We start from the raw sequence: 17,128 nt of genomic DNA, 5'->3' as shown, positions 1-17,128 counted from the left end.
CATCAGGTGATCCACCCACCTCGGCTTCCCAAAGTGTTGGGATGACAGGTGTGAGCCACTGCGCCCGTCCCCACGTCATGCTTCTAAGTCCCCCCAGTAAAGAACCCTTTACTAACAATTTTTGTCTGCCTTGTTTCTTGGCTCCTTCGGCATTTGGAGGTTTGCATACAAGGCTCTTTCATGGGAACAATGAGTAAATGGATATATGCATTAAAAAAACGAATATACTCTTTCACAGCATATTAGAAATGTTTATTAAGAATAATGGCATGAACTGCTTTTAACAATTTAGAAAAGACCCATTCCCCCCGCCCCCCCCCGCCCCCAGATCCAGGGCACTTCCTCTAAGTAAATACAAATATTTCTGTAGTGAACTGTATGCATATTCCCACTGAGTAAAGGTTATAAGAAGCCTCAGGTCAGGTCTTACCACCAAACTTGAAAACACTTGGAATGCAGCTGGGCAGGGACTTGAGCAGGTTTTGTCTTGATAAGCAGGTAAGAATGGCAGAACACTGGCTTATTGTCAACCAATGTTTTTTTATATACCTGAAGTATTCACAGCAACTTATTTTAAGAAGCTTTTTAAAAGTTCTACACCTCCACCCCCACAACTCCCCAATCCAGAACATGGAACAAGGGTGTGGAGCTGTTTGATGGACTTGGTCTGTTCTTAACATTTAATACTCTTAACTCCTAGGCCAGGTGTGGTGGCTCACGCCTGTAATCCCAGCACTTTGGGAGGCCGAGGCGGGTGGATCACTTGAGGTCAGGAGTTCAGGACCAGCCTGCCCAACACGGTGAAACCCTGTCTCTATTAATACAAAAATTAGCCGGGCGTGGTGGCAGGCACCTGTAATCCCAGCTACTTGGGAGGCTGAGGCATGAGAACTGCTTGAACCTGGGAGGCGGAGGGTACAGTGAGCCGAGATTGTGCCACTGCACTCCAGCCTGGGAGACAGAGTGAGACCCTGTCTGGAAAAAAACCAACAAAAAAACACTCCTAACCCCTGTGTGAGGTGGGTATTATTATTTCCATTTTATGGATGTTATAACTGAGGCAGAGAAGAAATTAAACTAGGAAGCAAGGATCTGAAGTGATTTCTGCCTAGGTGGGATAGGAGGGGTTGGGCTTAGGACTTGAAAGCCTAATTGAAAACCAAAAGCCAATCTCTTAATTTATTCTGGCCCTTGACAAGAGATTTGGTGAATGGTTCAGAAAGATTTTTGGTACAGACAAGTTCCAGGGCTTGAAAGTGAAAAGTAGTTACAGGCCATGTGTTTGGTCTTTGCAGGTCTTGGGATACATGTTCTCAAGGTACCTTGAGTGTTTGGGGGGTTTCTAGCCTCAGTGGGTTCTTGACAAATGTGCATCAGTTGGATGCTGAAGACAAACCAAAGTAGGAGACCAACAAGCACTTTAAGGGTGGTCGGGGGTTGACCTCAAATCTGGAACTTTATTCATCACAGACTATGGCACTATAGAGAACTGTGGGCTCTCTTCCTTAGAGCAGATAGACAGCCAGAGACTGGGACTCCCTGGGCTGGATGATCACAAAGCACATTGTAAACACAGCAGAGCAGAGCAGGTTTAGAGTTGTTATACAAATAAATTTTGGTCTTCATTGATTCCACTTAGGAACATTTTGTTGCAGGAATATTACTGATTATGGATCCTACCTCAGCTGACACTGGGGGTGAGAGGTACATTGCCATCCTGAGAGACAGGGAGCAGAGGACCCCCTCCAATCCCCCGACCTACAAGGCATTCACAGCAGTCCTCCTGCCAATTCTCACTGCCTTAGCTCCCTAAAGGCCCAGAATAAGATGCGTCCTCAGACCAAGTATCCACCTGGTGGGGTTAGCCACAATGCCCCATAGCCTGGGCCTGGCTTAGTGGGTGAGGTGGAAGTTCCCAAGTCTCCATCCACCTGCCAAAGCAAATTCATGACTGTTTGGGTTACAGGAAGAAGGGATATTGGGGCCTGTCCCAACTAGCTGGGAAACTCAGGAGGCAGGCCTCCAGGACTGGAACTAATAATACAGGGTTCCACAACGCACCAGCAAGGGAATAGGCAGCTCAGGACAATAATGTCCTGGAGTTTGCAACCTGGTGGTAACTTAGCTCAGTATTAGCCAGGTGAAAGCCATGAATACAACAGATTTTTCTGTTCCAAACTAGAACCAATGGAGGGATAACACCCATGGGGCCTCAATACAGCCACTAGAAAGAACCATGACTAAAGGGAGCAGAACTGAGGAACTAAGACCAGCTAGAATTACAAAATTACCACTTTACCACCCAAGACACACACACACCAAAAAAGATCAAATCCCCGTGACTGAGAGCTTTGCCAACTCTTCTCAGTGGCTTTATATGCCAATTAACCTAACCCTCCACAGAAAATGTAAAATGGCATAAGGCTGAAATTAAATGACTCACCTGAGGTCAAATACCTGGGAAGTAGAAGAGCCCCTACATAAATCCTGGAATCTGAGCTCTTAGCATTGTTTTCAAACCAGGCCTCTCTCATGGCCCTCATACACAAAGATGAGTTCAGTGCATCTCTGCCCAACCCCCATCATTTCAGGGGAAGGAATGAACTGGTACCACTATTTATGATAGGGATTAGCTCACGCCATGAGATTAGGTGCTTATGTTCTCAGAACAATGGGACTAAGATAAGAGACCAGTTAAGGAAACCCAATTCCAGCAGGCCTCAGGCCTCAATGTACACCTAACCCTCTGGCAGTCCCTGCCCACCCACCAACCAAATATTCTCCAAGCCTCCCTCTCGTTGATGTGCCATTTTTTTTTTTTTGAGACAGAGTCTTGCTGTCACCTAGGCTGGAGTGCAGTGGCACAATCTCAGCTCACTGCAACTTCCGCCTCCTGGGTTCAAGCAATTCTCCTGCCTCAGCCTCCCGAGTAGCTGGGATTACATGCACCCGCCACCACGCCCCGCTAACTTTTGTATTTTTAGTAGAGATGGGGTTTTGCCCTGTTGGCCAGGCTGGTCTCGAACTCCTGACCTCAGGTGATCCGCCCACCTCTGCCCCCACTTTTAATTTGCAAAATGGGCTGAGTAAGAATAAAGCAGTTTGTTCTCAGGTTTCATCTTTTTAATAAGCTCTGTGAAAGACATCCTAAGCACTGTATGAGACACAACAGAATATTTTTTCTTCCAGTATTAAAAAAAAAAAGACATTTGCAAACATTTTAAAGCCAACTCTTCTATATAATCAGTTTGATGATCTGAATTAGAAAATACCGCTGGATAATCATGTTCTTGATACACATTTCCTTTTTTTTTGAGATGGAGTCTCGCTGTTGCCCAGGCTGGAGTACAGTGGCGCGATCTTAGCTCACTGCAACCTCCGCCTCCCGGGTTCAAGCGATTCTCCTGCCTCAGCCTCCCAAGTCACTGGGATTACAGGCGTACACCACCATGCCAGGCTAATTTTTTTATGTTTAGTACAGATGGGGTTTCACCATGTTGGTCAGGCTGGCTTGATGCACATTTCTTATAGGTACATTGGGAAATTGCTTCCTAACCACAATAAACACTGTGTACAGGTTTTTAAAATGTCCCTGGATACACATTAATTTTTTGAAGTCAGTCTGGCCAAACTTGCCAGAACCAATTATTGCTAGCTCCAATAAACCTAAGAGCTCAAACTAAAAAACTGGTAAAAAGAAAAATACTCAGGTTCTACAAACGTCCCATAATTTGTCTTTAAATAGGCAGAAAAAATTTAAAAAAAAAGATGGAACTGTCTAAAAGGTCTTCAGCTACCTTGGCAGGTCAATTTAAAAACAAAAGGTTGATATACTATAAAATAAGATGCTTCGGTGCAGCTCCAAAAACCTTTATAAATACAGCCATTTGGAAGGACGATCCTGGATCAGAAATTATTCCTTGTGTATCTGGGAACAGCAAGAGGGGGAGAATTGTGATGTCATGAAGTAACAGCTGACAACATGCTCACCTCCTAGAGCTGATGAAGATGCTGAGGGTTGGACAACAGGGACACACCTTCATTTCCTCCATCCCACACAAGAGTAGAAGATTATAGGAGATGGGTTTTCAGATCCCACCCCCTAGCAAACTTGCTCTGATATGCACCTGAGAGCAAGGAAGGCCTAGCTAGGAATGTTTGGTAGGTTGGCTGGGTGAGGTATGAGGGCAGCAGAAATGCAGAGCAGTCTTGCCAGAAAAGGTGAGAGGGTCATGACAGAGTGTGACAAACAGGTTCACTCAATGCCGATATCCAAGTCTCACCTATATTATGTGCATGTCTCATTTCAGTTGTCATAATTGTCTCTGTAATTTCCTCCTGAGTAGCGGTCATAACCACCCTGGTTTCTGGGGGGGAAAAAAAACACACAAAAGTTTTCTGGTACTGCATTATATATACCACTGTAATTATATGCGTCACATTTTACAGTATGGGTCATAACATAAACCTTACGTATCAAAAACAGGATATGTTAAGCATATGAGTATCACAGTAAACAGTTTTATGGCATACGATTTATACGCAGTATATTAAATCATATTACATGTTAAAGCAATATAGTTATATAACCCACACAGCACAACATATATAGTATACTTTACCATGTCGCAACTATATGACTACACAATTAACTTAAAATGCTAAATTTCATACTCATTTTAGGTACACATTAGTAACAGCAAGGTGTGGTATGCATGAACACCCAGGCGCTGAGTTCTTAAGGAGAGGGAAGCAATAGGAGAACATCCCAGCCCTTTGGCTACCCACCTGCCATTATAGTCTCTGGAACGTCCATATCCATATCCATACCCTCCAGGTCGACTGTCATAATACCTGCCACTCCCATAGCCCTGGTCCCCACCACCTAGAGCAGAAAAATATTTAAATGGCAGTTGTCCACACATAGGCAACTCTCCCTCTCACCCCATGATCAAAACGATCACTGCACTCACCTCTAGAGTAGCTGCGACCACGCCCATGGGCCCCAAAGCCACCTCCTCTGGTTCCCCGAGCAGACTTGCCTGCATGATCCACACGGATCTGACGACCATCCAGAGACTAAGTGTGGGAGACACAAGGATGATGGGTTGGCAGTCAGTCAGGGCAATGGTGAGGGAAGAGCAGGCAAGGGTAAGTGGGCAAAAGAGGCCAAAAATTCCTGCTGGGCACCAGGTTCTGGGTGCCATGTTCCAGAATAAGCTCCTTTACCCCAGAATGGCTTCATCAGGAGCTATAGAATCCCACACAAAATGACCTGAATGCACCATGTTCCCCTTGCTACTACTTACATCTTGACTGAACTCAGGCTGAGTTCTCCTCCCCACTCCTCTAAGCTGCCCGACTATCAGGGCTAGACAGACACCTCTCTTGGTTTGAGGCTTCAGAGTCCATGTCAGAAGACTCACGAGGTCCTCTCCGGGCCAGGCCCACAGGTCTGCAGACTCTACTACCTAAGCCCAAGGCAGGTCAACCATCCACAGGTGGCTTCTCGGCCTCATGCAGGACCAGTCGTCGCCTCCCAGGCGGCCAGGCTCTGTCTGCCGCTGCCCTCCACCCCCTAGAACAAAAGGCAGTCATGCTCCTGTGAGTGGGCACTGCGGGGCTTGGTGGCCACGCTGCCCCGAGCAGACACAGAGGGAAAAACAAAAAGAATGAAGGAAGCCGCAGATGGGGACAAGGTCCCTCTGCAGATAGGAGGCCCCACCTCTCCGTTCATGGCTCTCATGGCAACTGAAGCATGCTCTGGGTTGGTGAAGGTGATGAAACCAAAACCCCTGGACCGCTGAGTCTCCCGGTCCTTGACAACGACCACTGTGAGAGGGAGAGAAGATGGAGCAATGTGGACCAGTCAGTACCCCAAAGGTTAAGTAGCAAAGGGTGGCCGGAAAAGGAGATGGCATAGGTAGGGAAAACGGAGCGCTCCCACTAATCCCAAAGACGCTTCCCCTCATCCTTAGTCTACACCATAGGCTTAGGAAGAAAAAGAATTTGGAGGCGTGGGTCCTAACTTTTCAGTTAATACTCCTTGAAATGCAAGGATCCCAGACTTTCTCTCACCAACCCCCATTGTGAGTATGGCCCGTCTCACCCTCAGAGATAGGTCCGAAACTGCTGAAGTGGTCTTCCAGTGCCTGCTCGTCGGTGTTAAAGTTGAGCCCTCCCACGAAGAGCTTTCCTTCTTCAGAGGACATGGCAGTTCAAGTCCTGTGGGAAGAACATGAAGAATGGTGGCAGGAAGGAGAAAGAAAATGGAGATGTGAGAAAATAGCGAGACGGAAAGCAGAGAAAAAGCACAGAAAATAGACAAGAAAGAGGAACAAAATATGGGTAACTACAGAAAAGCTGAGAAAGGCGGCCAATAAGGTGGTAATCTGAGGAGCTGGCTCAGCGCAGCCACCATTAGGGGGCCACATTGCGCATGCTCTCACATTCATAGCCGCCACGCCCGTCATTTTGTGCCACTGCGCAAGCCCAGAACATCCCTGCGTTCCCTTAACGCCGGCAGAACAAGATGGCGGCGGCCACGTGGGATAAGGAAAGTAAGTGTCGGCTGTCGCGTGGTCACTGCCACCACCGACGCCACCAGTCCCTCCCGGTAGGCCTCACACTCAGATACAGCGCGCCGGCCTCCCACCAACCGAAATGTTTCACCTCCAAGCACGGGACCCGCCCGTCCCAGAGAAAGCCAAGCCTACGTGTCAGTGGCCATTACTCTCCCCACTCGCTATTCCCCGGTCACGGCCGGCGCGGCGCGTGTGTGGCGAGGAGCCGCCGTTTCGCAGGACATATGCAACTTACCTGGAAATTAAAACGTAAAAAACCCGGACGAACAGCGAGCTCGGAGGAGCACAAAAAACAGGGACGGGGCTGCGCCGGAAGACGATTGATAAAGAGTACGTAGCGAGAACGTCCCGGAACGTTCCCCTTGCGCGTCCCGGCGTGCGTGCTGATTGGCTGAGGCCAGCAGGAGCGGAGTGGTGGGGAGAGGAAGGGACAGCAAAGCGAAGGGAGCAGTGTTCTCCGCGAAATGGGGTGTTTCCGGAAATGGGGTGTTTCCGGAAATGGGGTCGACTTTTGAACAGCTGGTGCACCCTAAACGTCAGCATCCCCCCCACAACCGGCTGAGCTGCCTTTATCCCTTCCACAAAGGAACCTTCTCAATCTCATACTACTTGCTGTCCCTGACATCATCCTCCCGTCCTTGCCATCATTTCCCCCGCTGGATCGGATGTCTTCCTCACCATCGTAGTCGTCTTCCTCTAGGTCCCTGCCATTCTCTGATGTTAACCTCCTTCACCTTCTAGTTCTTTAACCTCATACCCTTTAAAGGCCTGACATTTTATCCCCCACCGTCACTGATGTCATCACCCTTCACAGTCCATGATGTCAGACCCAACGTTTTAAGGTTTGACCCTGACTCCTACTCTTTCTCCTCTGTGCTCAACATCTAGCCGCCTGTCATGGGACCCTTTTCCCTGGCGTCATTCCATCTCATCTCTGACTTCAGCCCTCACCCTTGTCTGACTGCTGGCGTGAAGCCAGCCCCTTAATTTTCTCACCAATAGACTGCCTGAGATGGCTTTTACAAAACAGGATGCTGGCCGGGCGCGGTGGCTCACGCCTGTATTCCCAGCACTTTGGGAGGCCAAAGCGGGCGGTTCACGAGTTCAGGAGTTCGAGACCTGCATGGCCAACATGGTGAAACCCCATCTCTACTAAAAATACAAAAAAAAAAAAAAAAAAAAAAAAAGAAAAAAAAAATTAGCTGGGTGTGGTGGCACGTGCCTGTAGTCCCACCTACTCGGGAGGCTGAGGCTGGAAAATCGCTTGAACCCGGGAGGCGGAGGTTGCAGTGAGCCGAGACCACGCCATTGCACTCCAGCCTGGGTGAAAACAAAACAAAACAAAAGAGGATGCTACGATCTTCAGAGGTTGTAAATCCCAATCCATAGAGCAATTTTTGCTCTCTTCGAAAGTAACTGAGCCCTTGCCGGGCGCAGTGGCTCATGCCTGTAATCCCAGCACTTTGGGAGGCCGAAGTGGGCAGATCACAAGGTCAGGAGTTCAAGACTACCCTGGCCAATATGGTGAAACCCTGTCTCTACTAACAATACAAAAAAAAAAAAAAATTAGCCGGGCGTGGTGGTAGGCACCTGTAGTCCCAGCTACTCAGGAGGCTGAGGCGGGATAATCGCTTGAACCCGGGAGGTGGAGGTTGCAGTGAGCTGAGATCATGCCACTGCACTCCAGCTTGGGCGACAGAGCAAGACTCAGTCTCAAAAAAAAAAAAAAAGTAACTGAGCCCTTGATTCACAGAAGGGACTTTCGCAATACACAATAGACTTATCCCAATCAAGTAGTGTCTGAGCCCACTGTTCACAATTTAGTCTTCAGTGTCTTGGCCACCTTTACAATAAATGGATTTGACAGATTTTTCACTTCTGAGCGCCACATCAACGAAGAATAAGTTAGTTTGCCCTCAGAGGCTAAATTTCTTATCCATAGAATGAATTTGCCCAACACAGACCAAATTTGCTAACATACAGAATACAGTACATCCATATTCCTGTTGGGGTAATTCCCATATTTATCTTCCTGTTATTGTCAGGGATTCCTCACATAGTCTAATTATTAATCCCTTAGGTGTTGGAAATAGCCTCTCCAGCTCTGGCATTTGTGTTATTAACTTTGTAAGCAGTAAACTTAGTTGAATAAAGATCCATAATTTTGATATAATCATTTTTCCCCCTATGTTCTGTGCTTTTTTCTGAGACGGAGTCTCACTCTGTCGCTCAGGCTGGAGTGCAGTGGCATGATCTCAGCTCACTGCAACCTCCGCCTCCCAGGTTCAAGTGATTCTCCTGCTTTAGTCTCCTGAGTAGCTGGGATTACGGGCATGTGCCACTATGCCCAGCTAATTTTTGTATTTTTAGTAGAGATGAGGTTTCACCATGTTGTTCAGGCTGTTCTCAAACTCCTGACTTCATGATCCGCCTGCCTCGGCCTCCCAAAGTGCTGGGATTACAGGCGTGAGCCACCACGCCCGGCCTGGTCTGTGCTTTTAAAGAAATCATTCTCTTTCCCAGGTCACAAAATGTTCCCCTACAGTTTCTTTCTTTCTTTCTTTTTTTTTTTTTTTGACAGAGTTTCGCTCTTGTTGCCCAGGCTGGAGTGCAATGGCACTATCTCGGCTCACTGCAACCTCCGCCTCCTGGGTTCAAGCAATTCTCCTGCCTCAGCCTGCTGCGTAGCTAGGATTACAGGTGTGTGCCACCACACCTGGCTAATTTTTGCATTTTTAGTAGAGACAGGTTTTTGCCATGTTGGCCAGGCTGGTCTTGAACTCCTGGCCTCAAGTGATTCGCCTGCCTCGGCCTCCCAAAGTGCTGGGATTACAGGCATGAGCCACCGCACCCGGCCACATTTAGGTCTTTAATCCATGTAGAGTTCGTCCTTGTATATGGTGTGAGATAGAGCTCCAATTTTATTTTTCTCTGTGTCATGAGCCAGATGCCCCATCACCATCTATTAAGCAATCTGTCCCATCCCTGTGTGTGTTTTACCACCTCTATCATGTATCAAGTTCCATAGATATATGGGTCTGTCTCTGAGGTGGTTTGTTGCTGGTTTTGTTGTTATTGTTGTTTTTAAGAGATGAGCCCAGGCTGACTCCTGGCCTCAAGCATTCTCCCCAACTCAGCCTCCTGAGTAACTGGGATTACAGGGGAGCACTATTGTACCTGACTTCTGAGCTTTTTTTTTTTTTTTGACAGAGTCTCACTCTGTCGCCAGGCTGGAGTGCAGTGGCGCGATCTTGGCTCACTGCAACCTCCGCCTCCTGGGTTCAAGTGATTTTCCTGCCTCAGCCTCCTGAGTAGCTGGGACTACAGGCGCGTGCAACCACGCCCAGCTAATTTTTGTATTTTTAGTAGAGATGGGGTTTCACCATGTTGGCCAGGATGGTCTTTTTTTTTGAGACGGAGTCTCGCTCTGTCGCTCAGGCTGGAGTGCAGTGGCGCGATCTCGGCTCACTGTAAGCTCTGCCTTCCAGGTTCACGCCTCAGCCTCCCGAGTAGCTGGGACTACAGGCGCCTGCTACCGCACCCAGCCAATTTTTTTTTTTTGTATTTTTTAGTAGAGGCGGGGTTTCACCGTGGTCTGGATCTCCTGACCTTGTGATCTGCCCACCTCGGCCTCCAAAAGTGCTGGTATTACAGGTGTGAGCCACCGTGCCCGGCCTTCTCTTCTAATTGGTCTACTTCTTAGCTCTTGGGCCAATATAGGTTTGTTGTTGTTTTTTTTTTCCCTTTTATTACTAACACCTTTAATATGTCTTAATATCTAGTGGGCAAATCCCCATCATAACGCTTTCTTTGAAGGCTGTCTTAACTGTCCATGATTCATTACTATTCTAAATTCTAATGTAAGTGTATTGCAGTTCTAACAAAAAGAAGTAATGAGGTCAGGCATGGTGGCTCTCGCCCAAATCCCAGCTACCTGGGAGGCTGAGGCAGGAGGATCGCTTGAACCCAGGAGTTGGAGTCTGCAGTGAGCTATGATCGTGCCACTGCACTCCAGCCTGGGCAACAAAGTGAGACCCTGTTTCAAAACATTAAAAAAAAAAGTAATGGAAGTGTTATTGAGAGTGCATTGAATTTTTACATTTTGGGAGAAATAACGTCTTTTTTTTTGAGATGGAGTTTCGCTCTTGTTGCCCAGGCTGGAGTAAAATGGTGCAATCTCGGCTCACTGCAACCTCCGCCTCCCGGGTTCAAGCAATTCTCCTGCTTCAGCCTCCTGGGTAGCTGGAACTACAGGCACCCACCATTATGCTCGGCTAATTTTGTATTTTTAGCAGAGACGGGGTTTGTCTATGTTGGTCAGGCTGGTCTCAAACTCCTGACCTCAGGTGATCCACCCACCTCGGCCTCCCAAAGTGCTGGGATTACAGGTGTGAGCCACCATGCCCGGCCAAAATAACATCTTAATAATATTAACTGTGGAGGTTTTAAGATATGGTCACACTCTGATACTGTACTCGTCAAGAGTTGGAGCCTAACTTCCTTCCACTTGCATGTGTGCTGGACTTAGTGACTCAATTGTAAAGCACAGAATGAGGTGGAAGTGATAGTGTGTCATTTCCAAGACCAGGCTGTAAAAGGCACATCTGCTTCATGCTCTCTGTCACACAGACTGCTCATTATGTGGGACATTAGCTGGTATGTCATGAGCAGCCCTATGGAGGGATCTAGGTGGCAAGAAAGTAAGGCCTCTTGCCAACAGCCATGTGAGCAAGCCTTCTTAAAGGTGGATCCCAGCCTTCAGATAACTGCAGTCCTGGCCAACATCCTGATTGTAGCCTCATGAGAGGCTCTGAGTCAGAACCACCCAGTTAAGCCACTCTCAGAATCCTGACTCTCCAAAACCATGTGAAATAATAAATGTGTATTGTTTTAGCCACTAAGTTTTGGGATAATTTGTTAAAAATAACTTATATATTACCAAAATCTTTCCAGCAAAGAGCATAAAATGTCTCTCTTTTATTCAGATCAATTTCTATTGTTAGAGTTTAAATTCTTTAAAATAGAGGTCTCTTGTATTAAATTCATTCCTACTTTTTTTTTTTGTTGGTTATTGCTGCTATACAGAAATGCTTTTGATTTTTACAGGTTGATGTTGATTTTGTATTGGGAAACCTTGCTGAACCCCTTTTTTTTTTTTTAAGATGGAGTTTTACTATTGTTGCCAAGGCTGGAGTGCAGTGGTGCGATCTCGGCTCACTGCAAACTCCACCTCCCGGGTTCCAAGTGATTCTCCTGCCTCAGCCTCCTGAGTAGCTGGGATTACAGGCACGTGCCACCACGCCCAGCTAATTTTTTGTATTTTTAGTAGAGATGGGGTTTCCTCATGTTGGCCATGCTGATCTCGAACTCCTGACCTCAGGTGATCCATCCGCCTCAGCCTCCCAAAGTGCAGGGATTACAGGTGTGAGCCACCACGCCTGGCTGCTGAACTCTCTTATTAGTCCTATTAGTTGTTTTTGTCATTCTGTTTGTTCTTTTTTTTTTTTTTTTTGAGATGGAGTCTCGCTCTGTCACCCAGGCTGGAGTGCAGTGGCACAATCTTGGCTCACCGCAAGCTCCACCTCCCGGGTTCACACCATTCTCCTGCCTTAGCCTCCTGAGTAGCTGGGACTACAGGTGCCCGCCACCACACTTGGCTAATTTTTTGTGCTTTTAGTAGAGATGGGGTTTCACCGTGTTAGCCAGGATGGTCTCCATCTCCTGACCTCGTGATCCGCCCGCCTCGGCCTCCCAAAATGCTGGGATTACAGGCGTGAGCCACCGCGCCCGACTCTGTTGGTTCTTTAAGGTAGTCACTCATATAATTTGCAAATGAGTTTTATCAATTCCTTCTACAATGTATACCTCATTTATTTTTCCTCATAGCATTAGGTGGTTTTATATTAAAGAGTAGTATTGAGTGAACATCCTTGCCTTGTCCCTGATCTTAAAGGGAAATGCATTTAAAAATTCTCTATTGGCCAGGTTTGGTGGCTCATGCCTGTAATCCCAGCACTTTGGGAGGCTGAGGCCAGTGGATCACCTGAGGTCAGGAGTTTGAGACCAGCCTGGCCAACATGGTGAAATGCTGTCTCTACTAAAAATACGAAAATTAGCTGGGTGTGGTGGTGGGCGCCTGTTAATCCCAGCTACTTGAGAGGCTGAAGCAAGAGAATTGCTTGAACCCGGGAGGCGGAGGTTGCAGTGAGCCATGATTGTGCCATCGCACTCCAGCCTGGGCAACAAGAGTGAGATTCCGTCTCAAAAAAAAAAAAATTCCCTATTAAGCATTTTTTGCTGTAATATTTTGCTATGTATGAAGTTAAAGAAGTTTTCTTCTACTTTTGTTTGCAAAGAGTTCTTTTTTTTTTTTCTTGTAGTGATGGGGTTTTGCCATGTTGCCCAGGCTGGTCTCAAACTCCTGGGCTCAAGTGATCCACCTGCCTCAGCTTCCTAAAGTATGAGGATTACAGGCACGAGCCACCATGCCCAGCCCCCTTTTAAATATCATAAACAGGCACTGAACCTTATCAAATCCTTTTCTGCTTTGAGATTATCATATAATTTCTTCCTTTATTAATATGGTAAATTGCATTCACTAATTTTCTTTTCTTTTTTTTTTTTTTAGACGGAGTCTACCTCTGACACCTAGGCTGGAGTGCAGTGGCATGATCTCGGCTCACTGCAACCTCCGCCTCCCAGGTTCAAGCGATTCTCCTGCCTCAGCCTCCTGAGTAGCTGGGATTACAGACGCCTGCCACCACGCCCAGCTGATTTTTGTATTTTTAGTAGAGACGGGGTTTCACTGTGTTGGCCAGGTTGGTCTCGAACTCCAGACCTCGTAATCCGCCTGCCTCAGCCTCCGAAAGTACTGGGATTACAAGTGCGAGCCACCACACCCGGCCTGCATTCACTAATTTTCTAATTTGGATCAATTGTATTCCTGGGATAAACCCTACTTATGATTTAAAACAAAACGCACTATTGAATTCAGGTAGCTAATATTTTATTAGAATTTTTGCATCTATATTCATAAGTCCAGTGGGTCTATAAATTTACTGTTTAGTATTTTCCTTATCTGGTTTTAGAATCAAAACTATTTTAGCCTCATAAAATGAGGTGTATGGCTTTTTCTCTTTTCCTATCTTCTGGAACAATTTGTATAAGATGGGAATTACAGTTCCTTGAAAGTTTAATAGAACTATAATCTGCAAAACCGTCTGGGGCTGGGCCTGAGGCTGTTTATTACAATAAGATGGGGTATCTTTGATTATCATTTTAATTTTTCCTAAAATTTATTGTATATTCAAGTTATATTCAAGCTTTCTATTTCTTTTTGCATTCATTTGAACACATTTTAATGTTTCCTGAAATTTTTGTTTTTCATCTATGTTTTCAAGTGTATTAGCTTACAATTTGTAGCCTTTTTGTATCTATAATTTTCCTTTGTTATGCATTTTGCATTGCATTGTTTTAAATCAGTCTTGGCAAAGGTCTATCATTATTAATTATTTTCAAAGTACCAGCTTTTTTTTTTTTTTTTGAGAAGTCTCGCTTTGTCACCCAGGCTGGAGTGCAATCTCAGCCCACTACAACCTCTGCCTCCCAGGTTCAAATGATTCTCCTGCCTCAGCCTCCCGAGTAGATGGGATTACAGGTATGCGCCACCACACCCGGCTAATTTTGTATTTTTAGGAGACGAGGTTTCTCCATATTGGTCAGTCTGGTCTCAAACTCCTGACCTCAGGTGATCTGTCCACCTTGGCCTCCCAAAGTGCAGGGATTACAGGCGTGAGCCACCACGCCCACCTAATTTTTTTTTGTATTTTTAGTAGAGACGGGGTTTCACCATGTTGGCCAGGCTGGTCTCAAACTCCTGACCTTCAAGTGATCCACCTGCCTCGGCCTCTGAAAGCACTGGGATTACAGGCCTGAGCCACTGTGCCTGGTGTTTTTTTTTTTTTTTTTTTTTGAGATGGAGTCTTACTCTGTCACCCAGGCTGGTGTGCAGTGGCACAATCTTGGCTCACTGCAACCTCCGGTCCGCCTCCCAGGTTCAAGCAATTCTCCTGCCTCAGCCTCCTGAGTAGCTGGGACTACAGGCATGCACCACCATGCCTAGCTAATTTTTGTATTTTTAGTAGAGATGGGGTTTCATATGTTGGCCAGGCTGGTCTTGAACTCCTGGCCTCAAGTGATAGGCCTGCCTTAGCCTCCCAAAGTGCTGGAATTACAGGTGTGAGCCACCGCACCTGGCCTATTCTGTTAATCTTTATTATTACTTTACAATTCTCTATTGTATCTTTTTCCTTCCTCGTATTATTTCCTCCATGACTCAATCCTTTGGGTTTGTTCCTCTGCTCTTTTACCAACTTTTTTCTTTTTGAGAGTCTCCATCTGTCACCCAGGCTGGAATGCAGTGGCATAATCTCAGCTCACTGCAACCTCCGCCTCCTGGGTTCAGGCGATTCTCCTGCCTCAGCCTCCTAAGTAGCTGGGATTATAGGCATATGCCACCATTCTAGGCTAATTTTTGTATTTTTAGTAGAGACGGGGTTGCACCATGTTGGCCAGGCTGGTCTTGAACTCCTTGCCTCAAGTGATCTGTCCGTCTCGGCCTCCCAAAGTGCTGGGATTATAGGCAAGAGCCACTGCACCCGACCTATTTTCTTAGCTATTAGGATAGCTATCTTAGCTTTCTTTGGGCTTTTAATGTGCCATATCCTTTCTTCATCTTTTCGTTTTTTGTTTTTTTTTTTTTGAGACAGAGTCTTGCTCTGTCACCCAGGCTGGAGTGCAGTGGCCTGATCTCGGCTTACTGCAAGCTCTGCCTCCCGGGTTCACGCCATTCTCCTGCCTCAGCCTCCTGAGCAGCTGGGACTACAGTGGAACTAGAGGCGTCCGCCACCACGCCCGGCTAATTTTTTTTCTCTTTTTTTTTTTGAAACGGAGTCTCGCTCTGTCGCCCAGGCTGGAGCGCAGTGGTGCAGTGGTGCGATCTCGGCTCACTGCAAGCTCCGCCTCCCGGGTTCACGCCATTCTCCTGCCTCAGCTTCCCGAGTACCTGGGACTACAGGCGCCTGCCACCATGCCCGGCTAATTTTTTGTGTTTTTAGTAGAGACAGGGTTTCACCATGTTAGCCAGGATGGTCTCGATCTCCTGATCTCCTGACCTCATGATCCGCCCGCCTCAGCCTCCCAAAGTGTTGGGATTACAGGCGTGAGCCACTGCGCCCGGCCATCCTTTCATTTTCAACATTTCTAAATCTTTGTGTGTGTGTATGCTATTGGACTTTTTTTTTTAATCCAATGAGGGTCTCTGTGTTTCAAATATTTTTGTAATTACTACTGGGACATCTCATTCCATATTCTCCATTTACAGTTTTTTTATTTGTATTATTATTTTTTTGAGACAGGTTCTTGCTTTTGTCATCCAGGCTGGAGTGCAATGGCACGATCTCAGCTCACTGCAGCTTCAACCTCCTGGGCTCAAGTGATTCTCCCACCTCAGCCTCCCAAGTAGCCAGGGCCATAGGGGTACACCACCACACCCGTATTTTATGTAGAGATGTATTTTATGTAGAGATGGGATTTTGCCACGTTGCCCAGGCTGGTAAACTCTTGAGCTCAAGTGATGTTCCTGCCTCGGCCTCCCAAAGTGCTGGGATTACATGCGTGAGCCACCACGCTGGGCTGTTTTGTTTTTCTCTACCATCATACTCACACCTAACATTTTTGGGGGTCCTTTTTATAATCTCTAGTTCCTGTTTTGTATTCTAATTTTTTTTTTGAGATGGCGTCTCGCTGTGTCGCCCAGGCTGGAGTGTAGTGGCGTTATCTCGGCTCACTGCAACCTCCGCCTCCCAAGTTCAAGCAAGCGACTGTCCTGCCTCGGCCTCCCAAGTAGCTGGGACTACAGGCGTGTGCCACCACACCTGGCTAATTTTTTCTATTTTCAGTAGATACGGGGTTTCCCCATGTTAGCCAGGATGGTGTCATCTCCTGACCTTGTGATCTGCCCACCTCGGCCTCCCAAAGTGTTGGGATTACAGGCGTGAGCCACCACGCCCAGCCCTATATTCTAATAGTTTTTATTTATTATGTTTATTTAAAATTTTTCATCTGTCTCAATACTTCTGCTTCAGATATTATATGTTACCCAGTGTAGGAGGCGGCCTCCAATATAGCCCCCCATGATTCCTGCCTCCTGGTATTCATGCCCTGTATAGTCCCCTCCCATGTTGTGCTAGGGTTGGTCTATGTGACCAGTAACACAGCAGAAATGATGGTCTGTCTTTTCTGAGGTTAAGGTAGACATTGTGGCTTCCGTCTTGGTCACGGTCTCACCTGCTCGTTAGGATGACATGTTGTGAGGAGCCCCACGGAGATGCTCAGGTGGTGAGAAATTGAAGCCTTTTGCCAACTGCCCGATGAGTGGGCCATGTTGGAAGTGGGTCTGTCAGCCAAGTGAAGCTGTCATCTGACTGCAGTCCTGGCTGCCAACTTGAGTAAAACGTCAGGAGAGACCATGAGTCAAAACTACC

The 17,128-nt window shown here is 46.8% G+C and overlaps 1 protein-coding gene across 1 annotated transcript, besides 6 other annotated features; it reads right to left on the bottom strand.

Annotated features, from left to right (window-relative positions):
- Nucleotides 1-230: 230 nt before the first annotated feature.
- RBM3 (RNA binding motif protein 3) lies at nt 231-6,909 on the bottom strand. The gene is made up of 7 exons (NM_006743.5): nt 6,820-6,909; nt 6,110-6,225; nt 5,726-5,832; nt 4,974-5,079; nt 4,789-4,885; nt 4,284-4,367; nt 231-3,928 (listed from the first exon to the last, which is right to left on the bottom strand). Exons 2-6 carry the CDS (start codon nt 6,210-6,212, stop codon nt 4,307-4,309), a joined length of 474 nt encoding a protein of 157 aa, NP_006734.1. The 5' UTR covers nt 6,213-6,225; nt 6,820-6,909; the 3' UTR covers nt 231-3,928; nt 4,284-4,306.
- Nucleotides 2,615-2,824: a silencer, noted in NCBI's record as "fragment chrX:48436957-48437166 (GRCh37/hg19 assembly coordinates)". NCBI's record gives its function as "represses an EF-1alpha promoter that drives an FKBP-Casp9 reporter gene in an ReSE screen in K562 erythroleukemia cells {active_cell/tissue: K562}" and the evidence as "EXISTENCE:reporter gene assay evidence [ECO:0000049][PMID:32094911]".
- Nucleotides 5,835-7,034: an enhancer, noted in NCBI's record as "MED14-independent group 3 enhancer chrX:48432747-48433946 (GRCh37/hg19 assembly coordinates)". NCBI's record gives its function as "activates an origin of replication core promoter dependent on BRD2, BRD4, P300/CBP and CDK7 cofactors, and independent of MED14, by STARR-seq in HCT116 cells {active_cell/tissue: HCT116}" and the evidence as "EXISTENCE:reporter gene assay evidence [ECO:0000049][PMID:35650434]".
- Nucleotides 5,835-7,776: a biological region, named in NCBI's record as "CRISPRi-FlowFISH-validated PLP2 regulatory element 4". NCBI's record gives its function as "regulatory_interactions: PLP2".
- Nucleotides 6,582-6,851: an enhancer, noted in NCBI's record as "active region_29603". NCBI's record gives its function as "activates an Ori minimal core promoter by ATAC-STARR-seq in GM12878 lymphoblastoid cells {active_cell/tissue: GM12878}" and the evidence as "EXISTENCE:reporter gene assay evidence [ECO:0000049][PMID:35858748]".
- Nucleotides 6,791-7,776: a transcriptional cis regulatory region, noted in NCBI's record as "promoter|chrX:48432005-48432990 region (GRCh37/hg19 assembly coordinates) targeted for CRISPR interference". NCBI's record gives its function as "negatively regulates PLP2 gene expression in K562 cells {active_cell/tissue: K562}" and the evidence as "EXISTENCE:mutant phenotype evidence [ECO:0000015][PMID:31784727]".
- Nucleotides 13,249-13,449: a silencer, noted in NCBI's record as "fragment chrX:48426332-48426532 (GRCh37/hg19 assembly coordinates)". NCBI's record gives its function as "represses an EF-1alpha promoter that drives an FKBP-Casp9 reporter gene in an ReSE screen in both phorbol 12-myristate 13-acetate-treated (for megakaryocytic differentiation) and untreated K562 erythroleukemia cells {active_cell/tissue: K562 | K562(+PMA)}" and the evidence as "EXISTENCE:reporter gene assay evidence [ECO:0000049][PMID:32094911]".

The sequence above is a fragment of the Homo sapiens genome, chromosome X, assembly GCF_000001405.40.
Source record: "Homo sapiens chromosome X, GRCh38.p14 Primary Assembly".
NCBI classification, from domain to species: Eukaryota; Metazoa; Chordata; class Mammalia; order Primates; family Hominidae; genus Homo; species Homo sapiens.
The sequence above is the reverse complement of the archived record's forward strand: the minus strand, read 5'-3'. Positions and strand labels throughout refer to the sequence as shown.